Here is an 18,123-nt window from a genome sequence, read left to right on the forward strand (position 1 = left end):
GAAATACCAACGGGGAAGAACAAGATAGTCTGAAGAAAAAGCAAACCGAAGACCCTGGGCATGTCCCGAGTGTCCAAGTGAGGAAGGCTGTGGCTGAGCAAGGTGGAGCCGAGAGAAAGCAGTCAGTGTAATATTAATAGCAGTCCTATTATAAGACACACCAGGATGAGCTAGACTTTGCAAGGAATGTGGCTCTTACTATGCTTCAGGCATGTCCTTATTAAAACTGCCATTGCAAAAATTATGTCACTGAGAAAATTATGACCGTGAATGAGATTTGAGCTAACCCCACATAGGCACCCCACATCTTGCCTTTCCCTTAATTAATCCTGGGCTACTGGGCTGAGCTAACTTTGGAAGACAGTTAGGCTATAGTTTAAATGACAAATAGGCTTTGCCCAAAACTCACCAGCTTTTTTAAAGCAAATAGGAGGCCATCAGGCTGGGGATAGGAGAGGAACCTGAGTCCTGCTAAGGCACAGGCAGGAAAGATTGTCAGCCATTATTCCAGAGGCTATAAGATATGCAACTTCCCCAGTTATTCCTGCAGACAAGACACGATTGTAGATTGGCCTTTTGAGATGTCTTTCAGGTTTTTTGCTTGTCTCACACCCATGGCTCCACCTGGACCCACCAACTCTGATCTCATGGCCCCACCTAGAAGCGATTCAGCCCACAGAAGGACAGCTTTGACCCACTATGATTTCATCTCTGCCCTAACCAATCAGTAGCAAGCCTAGCCACCCCCACCCCTTTCCCCAAACTGAGTTTGAAAAACACCTAACCTAAGAGATTTGGAAGAGATGATTTGAGTACTAGCTCCATCTCCGACATGGCTTGACCAGCCTTATGTTTATTAAACTCTTTCCTACTGCAGTGCCATGGTCTTCATTTTACATACAGTGGGCAAGAAGAACCCCTTGGGTGGTTACAATATTTGTTTTAAAAATATCATTTTTGTTACTTAATAGAGAAGAAGGCAAAATCAAAATAATTTATGGATGAATCAGATTGTGGATGGATCTTATTTTATAATGGGAAGGGGGAATTGTTGGTCTGGAGGTTGTAAACCAAAAATAAAATTTGAAGTCCTCCCACTTGTCCTTCAACCTTCTAAATGGACTCATCCTGGACCAGGGCCCTCCAGATTTAATGTGAAAGACTGGTTCAGGCCATGACAGGAAGCGGGGAGCGGGACATGCCTCAGTATGCCATCTTCCCTTTTGTAATTCAGGAATAGCAGAACAGCATTTGACATAAACACAGCCTTTAATTCTGATAAGAAACATTTGCATTCTATTCTCTCTGAAGCCAGCTTCCCGGAGGCTTCATCTGCAGGGTAAAACTTTGGTGTCCCCAAATATCTTATCATAACCCAGATATTCCTTTCTATTTCTGATAAGTTTTTCAACCAATTGCCAGTCAGAAAATTTTTAAATTTAACTATAACCTGGAATGCCTACTTCAAGTTGTCCCGCTTTTCTGGACTGAACCAATGTATAGCTTAAGTGTATTTGATTGATGTCTCATGTCTCCCTAAAATATATAAAACCAAATGGTAGCCAAACCACCTTGGGCACAAGTTGTCCAGACCGCCTGAGGGTATATCACGGGCCATGGACACTTATCTTCGGCTCAGGATAAATATTTTCAAATATTTCACAGAGTTTGACTCTTTTTGTCAACAAGGTGTTTGAGAGAAATTTAGCGCATAAATTATGCTTCCTTCCTTTCTCAAACTCTTCTTATATCCCAAAACTATTTCATTTCCTTTCTTGGTTGGATAAAGACATAGTTTTTTTAATTCCACAATATAGAATCCACGGAAAGAATAGCTGACCCTACATGACCTAGGAATTTTAGCTGCAGGCATTAAAGGTCACTTTTAACAAAAAGTGATGGACATGATGACATGTCCATCGTATCTTTGATGACAAGTGATGACATGATGGACATGTCACAGCAGAAAGAGAATCTGGGCCTGATGGCTGTTTAGAGTCACCAGTCCAACCTCATATTTATCTGCCTTGAGTCCTCCATATGAGAAGAAAATAAAAGAACATCTCCATGGTTTAAACCTCTGGCAGTTAGTTGGTTTTGTGTTACTCATATTTGTAAACATTACTAACAGATATGCCTTTCTCTACTATTTGATCTTTTAGCCATGTGCATCCAATACTTTATTAAAATTTTAAATATTAAAATATTAAAATTGTAATATTAAAGTGTAAGTGAGTTAATTCAGTAATCTGCAGAGTCTCTGCCTGTGGAAAGTTATAGGCTAAATAGGATCAAAAGTCCCTTTTTCACTTACTTGGGGTACCACGGAGTATCCACAGAAAAGTTTATTATAAGATCCAGACATGGTTAGTACAACATAGAAAATATTTTGTCATTGCCCTTACATTCAGTGATATCAGCTTATGGAAAGTAATTCTACTTAATTATATTCACTGCTGAAGACAAGATTTATGTTATTTGAAAACACATTATGATACATTAATTTGGAAAAAAATACCTACAATTATAGTGTAGAAGGAACAGAGACAAAAAGACATGGCAGCATTATTGCCATTAAGATGGATAAATTAGAGGTAAAGAGGTGATTTCTGGGTAATTTAGTTTCTTTTGTCACTGAATGTCTGTTTAAAGGGTAGTTGATAAATTAGTGAATATTTAGGCATTAGTGATTATCCATGGTTAAGATACTTCCCTCTTGGGAGTACTTCTATGGGATATGTAGAAAATGCTTTTAATTTAAATACACTCTCTAAGAGTAAATCTTATGGCATATAAACTCCAAGTTTAATTGGGATATATCAAAATTTCATCTATTTTTCCAATTTTTTCAAATAATACCACAGAGATGACCAAATACTCCAACCACACATGAGAACTAAGTTTCAGGGACAAGCATAGACGATCTGAAGTAGAAGAGCTGAAGGAACCTGGAATACAGCAGTTTGAAGGCTGTTATAAACATAGCATGTGATTTGAAAATTCAACCAGCAAAGAAAAGCTATAAACTTCACATGAAATCTGACTTGCTTCTGGACTCCGCAGCCCATTATAATGCTTGTCAGCTCTATTTAAATAGCTCCTCTCAAGTTGACTTTTAGGCTTTTTTTAAGTGTTGATATTGAAGATTTCTGAAGCAAAGCAAAAACAAAACTGGTGTTACTGATATCCAACTGTGTCATCTGTAAAAGTGAAGAAAATAGTATACTTTCTTCCTTTCTCTTGCTTTCATTTTTTTTCTAAAATAACCCCCCTCCCCCCATGAATCACTTATTTTTTCAGTTGACAAAGTCTAAAATTCTGCTTCCCACTTTGGGATTGATATTTGAATTCCTTATTGCATCTCAAACCTGTGAATTGTTTCAGGAATTATTTCCATGTCTTTGTTATATGTTCTTTCAGAGAAAACGAATCACAACACAGTAGCTGGTAACAATTAATAGTACAATATTAGAAAGCTCTTCATCTCAAAGGAGGGCAGAGTGTTGGCAAAGACTATTATGCAAATAATTGCCTCTTCTCTGAAAAATATCACCTTCTGCACACTAGGAAATCAGCATCCATCACACCATGACAAAAAGTAGAGCCTCTTTTCTCATCACCAGCACGGCTGAAGCATGAAGTTTAAAACACAGAAATTTCTGAAAGCAGAGGTTTAAAACCTGTTGAAGTTTCACAGCACTTTAGATAATTAACGGCCACCTACATTTACTCTGCTTGTTTATTTTATGGCTCAGAAATGTAGTAGTTCTCAGAAAACTGCCTTTGTGTACATACTGAGAATCATCAGTGTGTATATATCTAAGTCCTGATCCCACAAAGAGTAAAGCAAATATTACATTATGGATTTTCGTGAGGATGATGACTCAGTTGGGTGCTTTAACTTAATAAGGTAGCTCATGAAAACTACCTATTGTAGAAGTGCCCTGGTCTCAGAAGCAGGAACCTGCAGTCCCACAGGGCAGCTTTGCAGGAGCTCAGAGGCTGTGCCCTACAGGAGTTGTGCAACATGGAGGTACGTGTTCTTGTTAAAGGAATGCTACAAATTAATGATTCAAAGTCACTTCATCTCTTAGGGCTTCACTTTACTCCTCTCTAAAATGGAAGATTTGCCTTTGGTAATCTTTAAAGAACTTTCTGACTATATAAATCCATGCTTTCCAAAAATCATTCTCAGATGATTAGTCTCTGAGTCAAAAAATCGACCTGTTCTGAATCACGCTAATATTTATTTAAAAGCCATAATATATAACCAAGAATCTCATAAAGCAAAAATAATAATAAGGTATTGAAGAAGGTATTTGTCTTTCTGAAAAAAATCAAAAAGAAGAGCTAATATGCATATGATATCCTAAAATAGGATTAAACCAACAATTTTTGCTACCTCCACAGATTAGGCAAATAAAATAAAAGTTTTTCACTCTTTCCATTAAAACTGCTTGCATTTAATTATATTCTATTCATGAAAGAAAAGTAATCTCATATGCTATGAGGCCACAGTTGTTTATTCTCCTGTGGATTAACCCTCATTTCACTCCTGAAAAAAGAAAAATGGGTTCCTACTTTCTGAATATAAAGTGGATTTTTAACCAAATGAGATTAAAATATGAAAAGTGATTTATCTTTGTTCTTCTCATTCATGTTAAAATAGCCTGCCACTTTGTCACCTTGCGTCAACCTGTCGAATTTAGTTACTGGCCTCATTTTACCTTTAGCTACTGTCTGTCCAGTCAGAGAAACACCTTTTAATTTCCTTAGATGGCCTTAAATATAGGTTTAATCTCCTCTCTTTCTCTTTTCTGCCATCGCAGTTGTCTAAGCTGTCATCTCTGAGTTATTCTTTGCTAGATAAATGTTTTTCAAAAATAAAAACTAATTTTTATTTTTATCATTGCCGCCACTTGCCCCTCTCAATGGCTTTTTAGTATTTAGACTGAGGATCTATAAGGTTTTGCATAATCTAGACCTCTCTTGATGATTACCTCAATGCTAAGCTCTAGTGACACTGGCTTCTTTCAGGTCCTTGACAAAAACCATGCTTTCTCACCAAGAAGTCCATTCCATAGGTGTAGGATGACACACCCACTCACTTTTAATCTTATTAAACCCTATTCTACTTTTATACTCTAACACCACACCATATCCTCAGGAATATGTTCCCGGACAACCTAACTCAATGCTATATCTTCCTTTTCCATAAACAAAAACATACACTTACCTAATACCAACCGCTTATTCTGAAAAGCACTTTCCTTAATTGTAATTTTATATGTATAGTCAGTTCTCATTATCCAAGGTAGTTATGGTCTATGAAGTTGCCACCAACACTGAGTTAGTGAATACTGAATAATTGTTCCAAGGAGAAATACAGGGTTAGTTTCCTGGGAGCCTCTGCTTACATTTTTGTCAATTGATCAATACATAACCTTGTTTTGTGTGTGTTTCTGGATAACACCACCTTATTTAATATGTACTGGTGATTAATTGACATTGAGCTCACATTGGTACTGATAACTCATGCCTGAACAAAGCTTACCCAACATATGAATTTTCTCCCTAAGGTACAACATGGTCTTCTTGTGCTTAGAAACACTAGACGGGACCTCAGCCCTAGGGTTAGGTGCTGTTTTAAACAACAAAATCACCATAAAAAGCACAAAATGCAAAACATGTAGCAAAAAATAGGCCACAAAAAGAACACTGGTTTACACAGCGCTGAAACAAGATGCTTACTCAGAGTGTCACCTTGTTTGACATCAGCCTGGAGTGTGCACAGCAGCCACCAAAATTTTTGCCCCTCTGTACATGCCTGTGAATAATTGCAAAACTGCAGTGAGTATTAATCTTGGGATTATAAATAAATTTTAGCACTCAGGCAAATTTGCAAACACAGAATCTGCAAATAAGGAGGATCAACTGTATTTACATAAGCATGTGTTTAAGGTCTATTTCTCCACTCTACTGTAAGCTCCATGTAAGCAAGAATCATTTCTCACCACTGTATTCCCAGCACCTGAATGGCACACATAGACACACACACACACAAAACACTTGATTCGTATTTTCTTTAATAAAGCAGTCCTAGACATCACTATCAAAACAGTGCTTCCCATCCTGAAAATCTTTCACTTGGTTTTCATTCCCCCTCCACTGAAAATTCAAGTAGTTCGTGTTTTGACTCAAATCCTTCAAACAACCTTTATTCTATTAAAGAATAATACAGCACAACCTAAAAATCCAGTGAGTTGGGAAAGATATGAGAATACAATCATAAGGTCATCACTACTACAAAATAAAAAATATTTCAGAAACTTTATGTTCCATCTAGAAAAAGGCTCAGAACAAACGACTTTTCACCTCAAGTTAATATAAACAACCTTGAATCCAACATCTTGTCTTCCAAATCATATCTGTTGTCTACATCAGAAACCTGTGAGTCAACACTGGCTCTTTCCCACCTAAACTTGATGATTGGTTGATCATAAAGAATAATCTACTTATGGATTATTTTGACATTCTGACTTCCCCTACCTACTAAACAGCATCTCTAAGAGAATGTTACTAATTTTCATTTTGTTAGCCACTCTTCCGATAGACAAACAATGACTCATTAATCAACAAAATACCCCTTCATTCAGCCCTCCCTCCATTCTGCCATCCACACCACCTCCAGCACTGCACAACTACTGAGTGTTCTCACTAGGAAATGTGTTTGTCCTCAAATACAAATGTCTGTATCAGACGTGTTGGATGAATTATAACTTTAGTTTTTAATGTAGTACGTATACTTTCAAGATACATTAGCTAATTAGAGGCTGCTGGAAATTATTAATGGTGAAGTTATCTTTTTGGGTTCCCTGACATTTCACATAGAATGCTAGTTTCAAGTTATACTAACAAATTAATACTGTACAATTTATATCATAAATATCTATAACTAAGTTTTTCTTATGAATTTAGGTTTAATAAATATTTGTAAGTTATTTTTACATGATTTCATTTTTTTTAATTTGGTCTGTGGGAGATGTAATTTTCACATACCTGTAATGTAAAATTATAATTCCTAGTGCTATTTTATGATCTTAATTCATCTGATACATAGAAATAATAACACCTATTAAGTTTTTTGTCATATATATGTATATACATATGTATCATTAATAAAGTGATACTTGGAAAATCTGCAATATTATCTATACCATCTCTCATTAAGTAACATTATTAACAATCACTTTTTTTTGTATTTTGAGTATATTAACTTGATATTCAACTACTCTTATTAAAATTGTACCTGTCAGTAAAACTAGCCAAATTTAAGATAAATGTTAATATTCAACAGAATATTTCAGATGTATTTTTACTATAATTAACACTAAAATAATTTCCTTTTTATAACTCACCATGTATGTAGTTTTTATTGTGGAATAATTAAAGTATCTGTCTAGTCACTGGAAATTAGACTTTGAAATACAGTTTTAAAAGTTGGAAATAGTGTCCTGAGCTTTGTACATTATATTATTTTCTTGTATTTCAGAAAGATCACTCTCAATATAACTCTGTGAATGCTTGCAGCTGCACACTTTTGAAAGATCACATAAAAGTACATTTGAATGTGTAATCATTCTTGCATATGTCAGTATTTTACTTGAAATCTCAACCAAGAAAGGATAAAGCCTTGATAATCACATATAGCATGAGAGAGAAAACCATGTATTTCTACTACACATCATATCATAAAGAGAATGGGCGTGGATTGAATGCTAATGACATTGGGACTTCTTTTGAAAGCCCATAACAGATCAACCAGGTTCTATAAGTTCTTCTGTAGGAGAACTCCATTTCTAGATAAATACTTCTCCTAGTTTTTACCTGTAACTTGGTATTTCTAATTTTATTTAGAATTTGGGTAATTTAAACATATTTAAACAGTACGACTATGTTAAAAAATTTGTATCCATTCATCTGTTGATGAATAACAGGTTGATTCCATATTATGGCTATTGTGAATACTACTGAAATGAACATGAGAGTACAGACGTGACTTCAACAAACTGACTTCAAGTGGTATATACAGGCAGTGAAATACTATTCAGCCTTAAAGAAGGATATTTTGTCATTTGTGACAACACAAATGGAACTGGAGAACCTGAGGCTAAGTGAAATAAGCTAGATACAGAAAAATAAATAACACATGTTCTCACTTAATATATGGAATCTGAAATGATTCAAGTCATAGAAACAGAGGAGTAGAGTGACTGTTACAGAGGATGGAGGATTTGAGCAGGGGGGTGATGGTTGATGAACACAAAATTTCAGACAGGAGGAAAAAATATATGCATATATATATAGTTCTATTGCACAGCATGGTGAATATAGGTTAATAATAATTAAATATATTTCAAAATTGTTAGGAAAGTACATTTCAAATGTTCTCATCACAAATATTAAATATTTAAGGTGATGTATATGTTAACTAGTTTGATTTACTTACTCCACATTCTATTTATAAACCAAAACATCACTTTGTACATCATACATTTATATAAAGTGTCAATTTATAATTCAACAGAAAATTTTCTAACAATAGGCTGAATAGCAAAATGAACTAAAATTAAATATAAACATAATGTTGGCTCTTAAAATGTCTAAAAGTAGAAAAAATAGTAATAGTTTTTAAAGTAAAACAAAAATAAATTGTTAACAGGTGAGCAAATTCTTAAGTAGGTTCTTGCATGCAATCTTTTTTAAATTTTACTAAATGATTAGAGAATAGAAAACTTTGACTTGGAAAATATAGTCAATTTTTTATAACCATTGTAAACATTCCATACTTTCTGGGGCTGAATGAGATAATACATTTTTAGTATCAATAATTGGTGTCACAGATATTAACAAAATAGCTCACTAATAATGGCTTTCTGTAAAGACACGTGCACATTTTAACTTTATATTCTAGGTACAATGTTTTTACTTAGTATTATTTTATTGCTCTATACCTATATTTTTTATTAATAAATATAGTAGCATTTGTATAAGGTTGATTATTGGTCTTATTTGTACAATTAAATAGCTCAGTCTGCAGAGTTTCTTAAATTGTTGCATTTCTCAAAAACTTTCTTGTAATTTAGCATATTTTCCCAAATGTCATTCATTTTACAGGTAGGCAAAATTAAATATGTATACAACCACACGCTAAAATTTGTCATCTTAGTGACCGTTTATGTGTTATTAGACATGGTATATCATCTTACTTACAAAATGCATAATTTTAAAAATTTGATATTTGTTAATATATTACTTTCAACTACCCGAAGCGATACTAATTTTTCTTTTTTCCCACAAAATTAAAACAATATGCTCAACATAATTTGTTAGTTAATATTTTTCCCATCAGAACTCCATAGCTAATGATCTACTTGATCTTTTTGGTATTGAACTTTAAAAAGAACAAGTCATGTTCCGTAATTATTTTTATTTTTAAAAATATTTCAGCTCATGATGTTAAACCAGATACACGGATACTTATGTTACAATTCCAAATGATAATATCAGTTGTTTATATGGGTTAGAAATTGGTTTTATATTTTACTTTTGATTATTATTTGTTAGTATTTAGTAGCCACATTTATCAATATCTTGTCAGTTCAGTGTCATGACTATTTGTTAATAACATCTTTTATTTTTTCTATTTTCTTTACATTTAAAATATTCTAAGCCAGGTGCAGTGGCTCACGCCTGTAATCCCAGCACTTTGGGAGGCCGAGGAGGGTGGATCACGAGATCAGGAGTTCGAGACCAGCCTGACCCATGGTGAAACCCCGTCCCGTCTCTACTAAAAATACAGAAAAATTAGCCTGGCATGGCGGTGTACACCTGTAATCCCAGCTACTAAGGAGGCTGAGGCAAGAGAATCTCTTGAACCCGGGAGGTGGAGGTTGCAGTGAGCTGAGATCGGCCATTACACTCCAGCCTGGGCGACAGAGCGAGACTCCGTCAAAAAAAAAAAAAAATCCTAAATTCCCTTCTCACATCACAGACCTGACATTTGTAATGTTAATTCCATTCCTTACTTCCTTACTGCTTTTAATGGAGATTATTTCACTATGTTAATAGTAAAATGGAGTTACTATGTTAACTCTACTTTTCTCCAATTTTATTCAAGTGGTTATATATTTTTACTTTGGTCTCATTTCATAACTTTTTTTTCACAGTATCTATGCTTTTTTAAGAGAAGAAAATATTTGTGTCAAGCTAGCTTCTCTCCTCTCTAGCAGATCTCATAAAGAATTATACTTTTCAGGCCAGGCGCAGTGGCTCACGCCTGTAATCTCAGCACTTTGGGAGGCCGAGGCGGGTGGATCACCAGGTCAGGAGATCAAGACCATCCTGGCTAACATGGTGAAACCCCGTCTCTACTAAAAATATAAAAAAATTAGCCAGGCGTGGTGGCAGGCGCCTGTAGTCCCAGCTCCTGGGGAGGCTGAGGCAGGAGAATGGCGTGAACCCGGAAGTCGGAGGTTGCAGTGAGCCGAGATTGCGCCACTGCACTCCAGCCTGGGCAACAGAGCGAGACTCCGTCTCAAAAAAAAAAAAGAATTATACTTTTCAGTGTCAATATTAGTTTCCATTTTGGTTTATGTTGCAAATTTTTATGGGCCACACTTTGGCTTTGTATATTAAGTGAATTAATTTGTATAAGCAGAAATCTGAACAATCTAAATAATTGCTTACAAAATAGTAGATTTTTATGTTAATCGTCTTGCCATTTCTGCAGCAACTATTAAAATCTTACATGATCTAAACTCAATAGTTTGAATGTCATAAATGTCTTCCATCAAGTCAATGCACCGTACTCCTGGAAGAGTTGAAAGATATCTGGAGCCATTGCTTTCTCCCCCGCCAAGATTTGAAACGGCACATTTCCTGTGTGGCTATGGGCTCATTTAGCCTTTATTCTCTTGCTAGGTTCGTATTGTGGGCTGTGCATTACCCTAGCCACACACTTTGAGAAAGATAATGCCTGCCAGGTAACGGAAAATCCATCTTCTCAAAAATAAGTCTGGCCAAATTTTATGCTTTTTATTCTGCTGTAACTTATATGAAAATCCTGCTTCTGCCATTTTGTTTTTAATAATACATTTTATCTGTCTCAGTTACCACACGAAAAAAGCTACTACATTTTTTTGCAGGTGATTTTTAAAAATTCAGCAGCTGTCTATTAAGTAGACCTTAAGAAAAAATACCATTTTAAAAACTATCTTTTACCATGTATTCTTATAACTATTAAAATTGATGTTAATGTCTATTATAATATTATCTAATGCTATATAATGAGAACCCATCTATGCTTTTCTGAAAATATCCTGGCTTACAGATCTATCCAGCTTGAATTTTACTAATATAACTCCAATCATCATTCATTTTTGGTGTATAAATAAAAAAAGCACAACACAGCTAAATGGTTTTAAATGTATATTTAATCCCTATGGCCTCATTATACTTGATACCTTGTACCAAGGTAAGTAAATACAAGTATGGAAGAATAAATAAGTTAACAGATGAATGGATGGATGAATAGATAATACATAACTCTGTTAAAGCGTATTTAAAAACACCTAACTTATTGACAGATTGTTTGAAGCAATAAGCTTAGATTATTCTGTAACTTATAACATCTGATAAATTTACATTTTTTGCATAGTGCTCATATAACGAGAGGTATTCTATCTGTAACTAAATAAAAACAGTAAAATACCTTTAAAAGCAAACAAATATATTTCCTTCTTTTTTTTTTTTTTTTGAGATGGATTCTCTCCCTATTCCCCAAGCTGGAGTGCAATGGCACGATCTCGGCTCACTGCAACCTCCCCCTACCAGGTTCTAGTGATTCTCCTGCTTTAGCCTCCCAGGTAGCTGGGATTACAGGTGCCCACCACCAGGCCTGGCTAATTTTTGTATTTTTAGTAGAGACGGGGTTTCACCATGTTGGTCAGGCTGGTCTCAAACTCCTGACCTCCAGTGATCCACCTGCCTCGGCCTCCCTTTTCCTTCTTTCTTAAACATGTGCATATTTGTTGTAAGTGTTTGACATTTTCTGGCTATGTTTTTCTATTAAAGATCTTCCTTGAAAAAAAGTTTCAAAAATGGTTTTTTAAACTCCAACTTTTAAAATAAAAATGACATGTAATGGTAACTTTCAAAGTTATTGTTGATATGTGATATATTTTACAAAACTGAGAAATATATGTTAAATTTTAAAACATCAAATAAACACTTTGAGGATTGTGTTTAAATCTGTATTATTTTCTGCTACATTTTGTGGCTTAATTCTGTGAAGTTTTACTCTGCAGTTGTATTTTGCGGCTATTTTGCTACGAATAATTTGTCAATTTTTTCTATTTTCCATGGAATTTAAATTAAAGACAATCAATTTCTCATTTATGAGAACAGGGCAGTATCACCTTTATATTGTAGTTAAAATAACAAAAGATAGAGAAATCACATCGTTTTCTAAGGAATGGAAAAAAATTGTATCTTTCCTCTCTGGCATTTCTGGATGCTGTTTTATAATGTTTTTTAGATTTAGTCAGCATTTTTGAAAATTGTACAGATTAGAAATCTCTTAAGAAGTGCCCTGACAGCAAGAAAAGCCATGTTATCTTCTATTCATAAAAAAGATCATTTTGGAAAGGTACTTTCCTTCAGTAGCTTTTGGAGGCTTGGGCTTGTTTATATAATGTAGCTGCAAAATAACATTTTCAGATAAATTTTAAAAACTACAGAAATGTAAATAAATTGTATAGTGCCAACAAATAGGACTGTTAATAAATGATAGGAAATGTCTTAAATGTACAAATCCAGAAATATTACTGGCATATCATAGTGAATTATAAATGCAGAGGTAACCTGGGGGCAGATAGAAAGAGAACAGAATTTGAGAACTACAACATTTATCTTATAATGGTATACAAAAATCAGGAGAAAAAGTTCCCCAGGTATTGTAGGAACTTATACAACTTATATTAGTATTCTGGAGCATGACCAAATTGGTAGTTCACCGATTATTTTGGCCTTTACCTATCATTAGGTTGCCTAGGCGAACACCAAAATTTTTCTGGGTTAGCAAAGCTACCAGGTCATAGGAGGGAAATTCTGACCAATCACTTCCATATTATGCCTTTTGAAAATTCTAAACACAGAAATTATGTTAGAATTTGAAGCCAGCAAATTAATTGTGATTGGAAAAGTGTCATTTTCATACCTAAACCTGTTCATTTTAATCTCTCTTCTCATTTACTCTCATTCAGTTATTTCTCAGTTGCTTAATAATTAAAATAATTATTAAGTATGCATATATCACACTTACAAATTAAGAAGTTGGCCTCTTATACATTATCTCAATCTCTGCCAAATGTAGACTTGCCTTCCTCTCACTTTTTTCTTGTTTACAGTTACCTTGCATTTCATGGAGTATTGGAAGACTCAGTTTCACCCCATTCATCTTTCAAGGATCAGCTCAAATATTATATTTTCTAATACCACAGGCAAAAATCATTGACTATCCATCAAGACAGATTCTTGACTGAATTTTTAAAAATACGTTTCTACATGTTTTGAATTAAAAATTAGGACCAGTAACCCATATAAATATACATGTATCTTCAAAACTTAACATGTGATGTCTTTAATATTGATAAAACTATCTTATCCATGTACATTATCCATGTACATAAGAGTCATAGAAATGAAGACCAAAAATTCCACCCAAAGAATAATATTAATTCTTGTTGTGGGAAGCGAGGGACCCTGAACAGAGGGAGTGGCTGGAGCCACGGCAGAGGAACATAAATTGTGAAGATTTCATGGATATTTACCAGTTCTCAAATAATACTTTCATAATTTCTTATGCCTGTCTTACTTTAATCTCTTAATCCTGTTATCTTTGTAAGCTGAGGATGTATGTCACCTCAGGGCCACTATGATAATTGTGTTAACCACACAAATTGATTGTAAAACTTGTGTGTTTGAACAATATGAAATCAGTGCACCTTGAAAAAGAACAGAATAACAGTGATTTTCAGGGAACAAAGGAAGACAACCATAAGGTCTGACTGCCTGCAGGGTCGGGCAAAATAGAGCCATATTTTTCTTCTTGCAGAGAACCTATAAATGGATGTGCAAGTAGGGAAGATATTGCTAAATTCTTTTCAAGGAATATTAATAATTAATACCCTGGGGAAGGAATGCATTCCTGGGGGGAGGTCTATAAACGGCCACTCTGGGAGTGTCTGTCTTATGCGGTTAAAATAAGGACTGAAATACATCCTGGTCTCCTACAGTACCCTCAGGCTTACTAGGGTGGGGAAAAACCCCACCCTGGTAAATCTGAGGTCAGACCAGTTCTCAGCTCTCGAACTCTGTTTTCGGTTGTTTAAGATGTTTATCAAGACAATACGTGCACCGCCGAACATAGACCCTTATCAGTAATTCTGCTTTTGCCCTTTGCCTTGTGATCTTTGTTGGACCCTTATCAGGACTTTCTGATTTTGTCCTTGTCCTGTTTCCTCAGAAGCATGTGGTCTTTTTTCTCCTTTTTGCCCTTTGAAGCATGTGATCTTGTGACCTACTCCCTGTTCTTGCACCCCCCTCCCCTTTTGAAATCCTTAATAAAACTTGCTGGTTTTGTGGCTCAGGTGGGTATCATGGTCCTACCAATATGTGATGTCACCCCCGGAGGCCCAGCTGTAAAATTCCTCTCTTTGTACTTTTTCTCTGTATTTCTCAGCTGGCCGACACTTATGGAAAATAGAAAGAACCTACGTTGAAATATTGGGGGTGGGTTCCCCTGATAAATTCTTTCTTTCAGAGCACTAAAAATGTTTTGAGTAAAAAGGGAAGAAAAACAAGCTATCAAAATAAAGTCTCAGTGATATGCCACTTAGTTATGCTGTATAACTTCACATTAAAATTAAAATCCCACATTTTAAAATTCTCTGTGTTCTTGGGCTGCTTGATATTTGACTTAAAAGCAGTTAATTAAAGAGCAGTAATTTTAAAAAGTAGTAAATGGGGTTTCAGTTTTGTCTTTGTTCATTTGTATGGGTGCTGGATTGTTGATTAGTTTCTTAATGGGAATCTTTTAACTTAAATGGGAATGTGTAAGACAATGAAATTATGTGAAGCCTAGAGCAGCTTAAAAAACTGTCTTGTGCTCTAGTGATGTTATCACTTTATAGTAATATATTAGATTTCTCCCAAGAAGCTCAAGATCCTTTCAGTATTTCTCCTAATAGTAAAGTAGGGCAGGTGTACAGAGGGGAAATAGAACGTCTATACACCAATAATGGGAAAATTGAAAGAAAAAATAAGATACTTTATATCTATGTGAAACAGGATCAGAAACCAGGTCTCCTTTAGCTACTTTGGTACAGAATGAATGGTGCTCACACTTACAATTTTACTACCATTTACTTTGGAACACTCCACAGTGTAGAAACGGGCTCAGCATAAATGCTAAATATATCAATACAAATACTTCATGTTATGATGATTATATTTGGTCATTTCCCTTGGGATCACGTCCTAAGATGGTTATTTTATAACACTTTAATATAAATGCTTAACCTTTAAAAATCTAGTTCTTTTGGAGAAAATCCCAGATGTGCATACAATTAGAAGCAACATCAAATATTTTGTGTTGCCAGATCACTAATTAAATTCCTGCACATAACCTTTTTCTTCCTGAAATGCAACATTTACTAAATTATTTTATAATTATGCAAACAATGTTTTGTATAGCTTTTGCATTTTAATGAGTTTGGGGGAAACCAATTTAGAATTAAATCAGATTCTGAAAAAAACATGTGTTGTACTAAAGAGCTGCTGTCTAATTGTAATAACACTCTCTACCTTCCATGAGTCTGTAATTCCTTTGCCATTTAAAACGTCACAAATTTTCTGCTTAATTTTTGTTTTACTGCCCTTTTATGGGAAGATGTTTCAATATTTAAATTCACAAAAGACACACAAGAATCTTCCAAAGTGAGGAAAAACAGTTCTCTCTCCCATAACCTTTTCTTTAATATTACCATTCAAACAATGAGAACACTTGGACACAGGGTGGGGAACATCACACACCAGGGCCTGTTGTGGGGTGGGGGGAGTGGGTAGGGATAGCATTAGGAGATATACCTAATGTAAATGACGAGTTAATGGGTGCAGCACACCAACATGGCACATGTATACATATGTAACAAACCTGCATGTTGTGCACATGGACCCTAGAACTTAAAGTATAATAAAAAATAAATAAATAAATAAATAAATAAAATAATAAATAATATTACCTTTCAAAAATGTTTCTAGTGCTCCTAAATTCTATTTGGTTAGATTAGCCTTCAGTACACTCAAAGTCCAGGGATCAAAGTAGGCAAAAATATAATGCCCAACTTTATTTCCTTGATTTCATCAATAATTTCATCAGACATTATACATAACAGTATTCTATTAATAGGACTAAACATGTATTACTTGTTAAATAAAATGAAATTTATGTAGCAGTGGAATAATTATCTTAAAACGTTGGACTTTTAAAATTTGTTAAATATCTTTAGCCCTCTTTTGATTTCCTGTTTTTCAGAATGTAATGAGTATAAATGACCTGTAGGAAATGACAAACTTATGTCTCAAGGAATCCTATAAATAATCTGAATGAATAGCTCAAGTTGTGGCAAAAATTATGGGAAATATTTGGTATTTTAGCCATCTGAGCCTTCAACTAATGACTTTGTACCATGATCTGCTGTAAAGCAGAAAAATATAGAGGAACAGACAAAGAGGAGTCTAAGTTATTATAGGACTAAGAATACCAGATAGATACAAGCACATACATATGTAGGTATGTATGTATGTATGTATGTGTATGCACAATCATTGAAGATGTACATCTTTAAAAACATTACTTCTGAGACTTTTAAGTTTTGGTACAGTTCTTTCATTTTACTTACTTAATATTGACCTCCTACCATCAAACTTCTTTTAAGTATAAAGGTGAAAGAAAAAGATACTTAGAGAATGTAGAATTCAACACACAAGAACTGCTTAAAAGTTACCATACATACGGTAAAAGACACTAGCTGGAAGTTTGGAAATGTAGAAGAGAAATAAGGGCAATAAAAGAGTCCAATGTGGGTAAATCTAATATTGGATGCATAAAATGGTAACAATGTCTCCTGCTATTCTAAAAATATATGGAATAATATGTGTGCACATATATCTGAAAGGGATTAAATGCAGTTAAATATTTATGACCTTTACCTTGCCTGGAATGTGTAACAAGTACCAATTTCTATTAAAACATGGAAAGCTAATTACAAGTATTGCAATCCCTAGGTTAAGCACTTAAAGTGTAGTGAAAGCAAGTGTTAATATCAATAAAGGGGAAAGTGGACTGACAAAATAATCAGTCGAAAATAATGAATAAAATAGAAAAATATAACATAGAACAGATGAAACAAAAAATAGCGTAGGCATATATTTAAACCTTAATATAAACCAACTACATAAAATGAAAGTAGGTGAAGTCTCCAAATGAAAGACAAAGGCAAAAGTAGTATCCCATAAATACAGGTTAAATAAGAAAATATGTTTATTTTATATGAATATGGGTTGAAATAAACAAGATAAAAACTTTTGAATATATGCTAAATCATATGGCTGAAATTTTTAAAGTCAAAATTTTAGAACTATTTGAAACTTATTAAAACTAACTGGCATGAGGACCTCTAACTCATTCATATTGGGTTTGTGTGTATGTATATACATTTATGTTTATTATAAATACATGTAAATGTTATATAGTAAAATTTCCAACTTTTTGCTATGCTTTAAAACCACACAAGAGTATCATATATAGATTGAAACATTGCCTTTTCTCTTGAGCACTACTCCCAAATATGTGGATATGTTATATTTGAGGTGGCATCAAAATATCGCTTTCTGAAAAATTTATTCAGGTAATTCTTACCCCCAGCCTGATATATATATCATAGAAAAAGACATTTTAAAGTATATGCATAAGGTAAATTTCTTCCTAATATCCAAGAA

The 18,123-nt window shown here is 34.2% G+C and overlaps 1 pseudogene, besides 1 other annotated feature; it reads left to right on the forward strand.

Annotated features, from left to right (window-relative positions):
* The window catches only part of LOC107986665 (plasminogen-like protein B), a 124,780-nt pseudogene that overhangs the window by 32,605 nt on the left and 74,052 nt on the right, over positions 1-18,123 (forward strand).
* Positions 3,724-3,893: an enhancer, noted in NCBI's record as "experimental_91154 CRE fragment used in MPRA reporter constructs". NCBI's record gives its function as "activates a minimal promoter by MPRAs in K562 erythroleukemia cells, with activity observed for both the introgressed and non-introgressed 6:161231374 variant alleles {active_cell/tissue: K562}" and the evidence as "EXISTENCE:reporter gene assay evidence [ECO:0000049][PMID:34662402]".

Source organism: Homo sapiens, chromosome 6 (genome assembly GCF_000001405.40).
Source record: "Homo sapiens chromosome 6, GRCh38.p14 Primary Assembly".
NCBI lineage: Eukaryota > Metazoa > Chordata > Mammalia > Primates > Hominidae > Homo > Homo sapiens.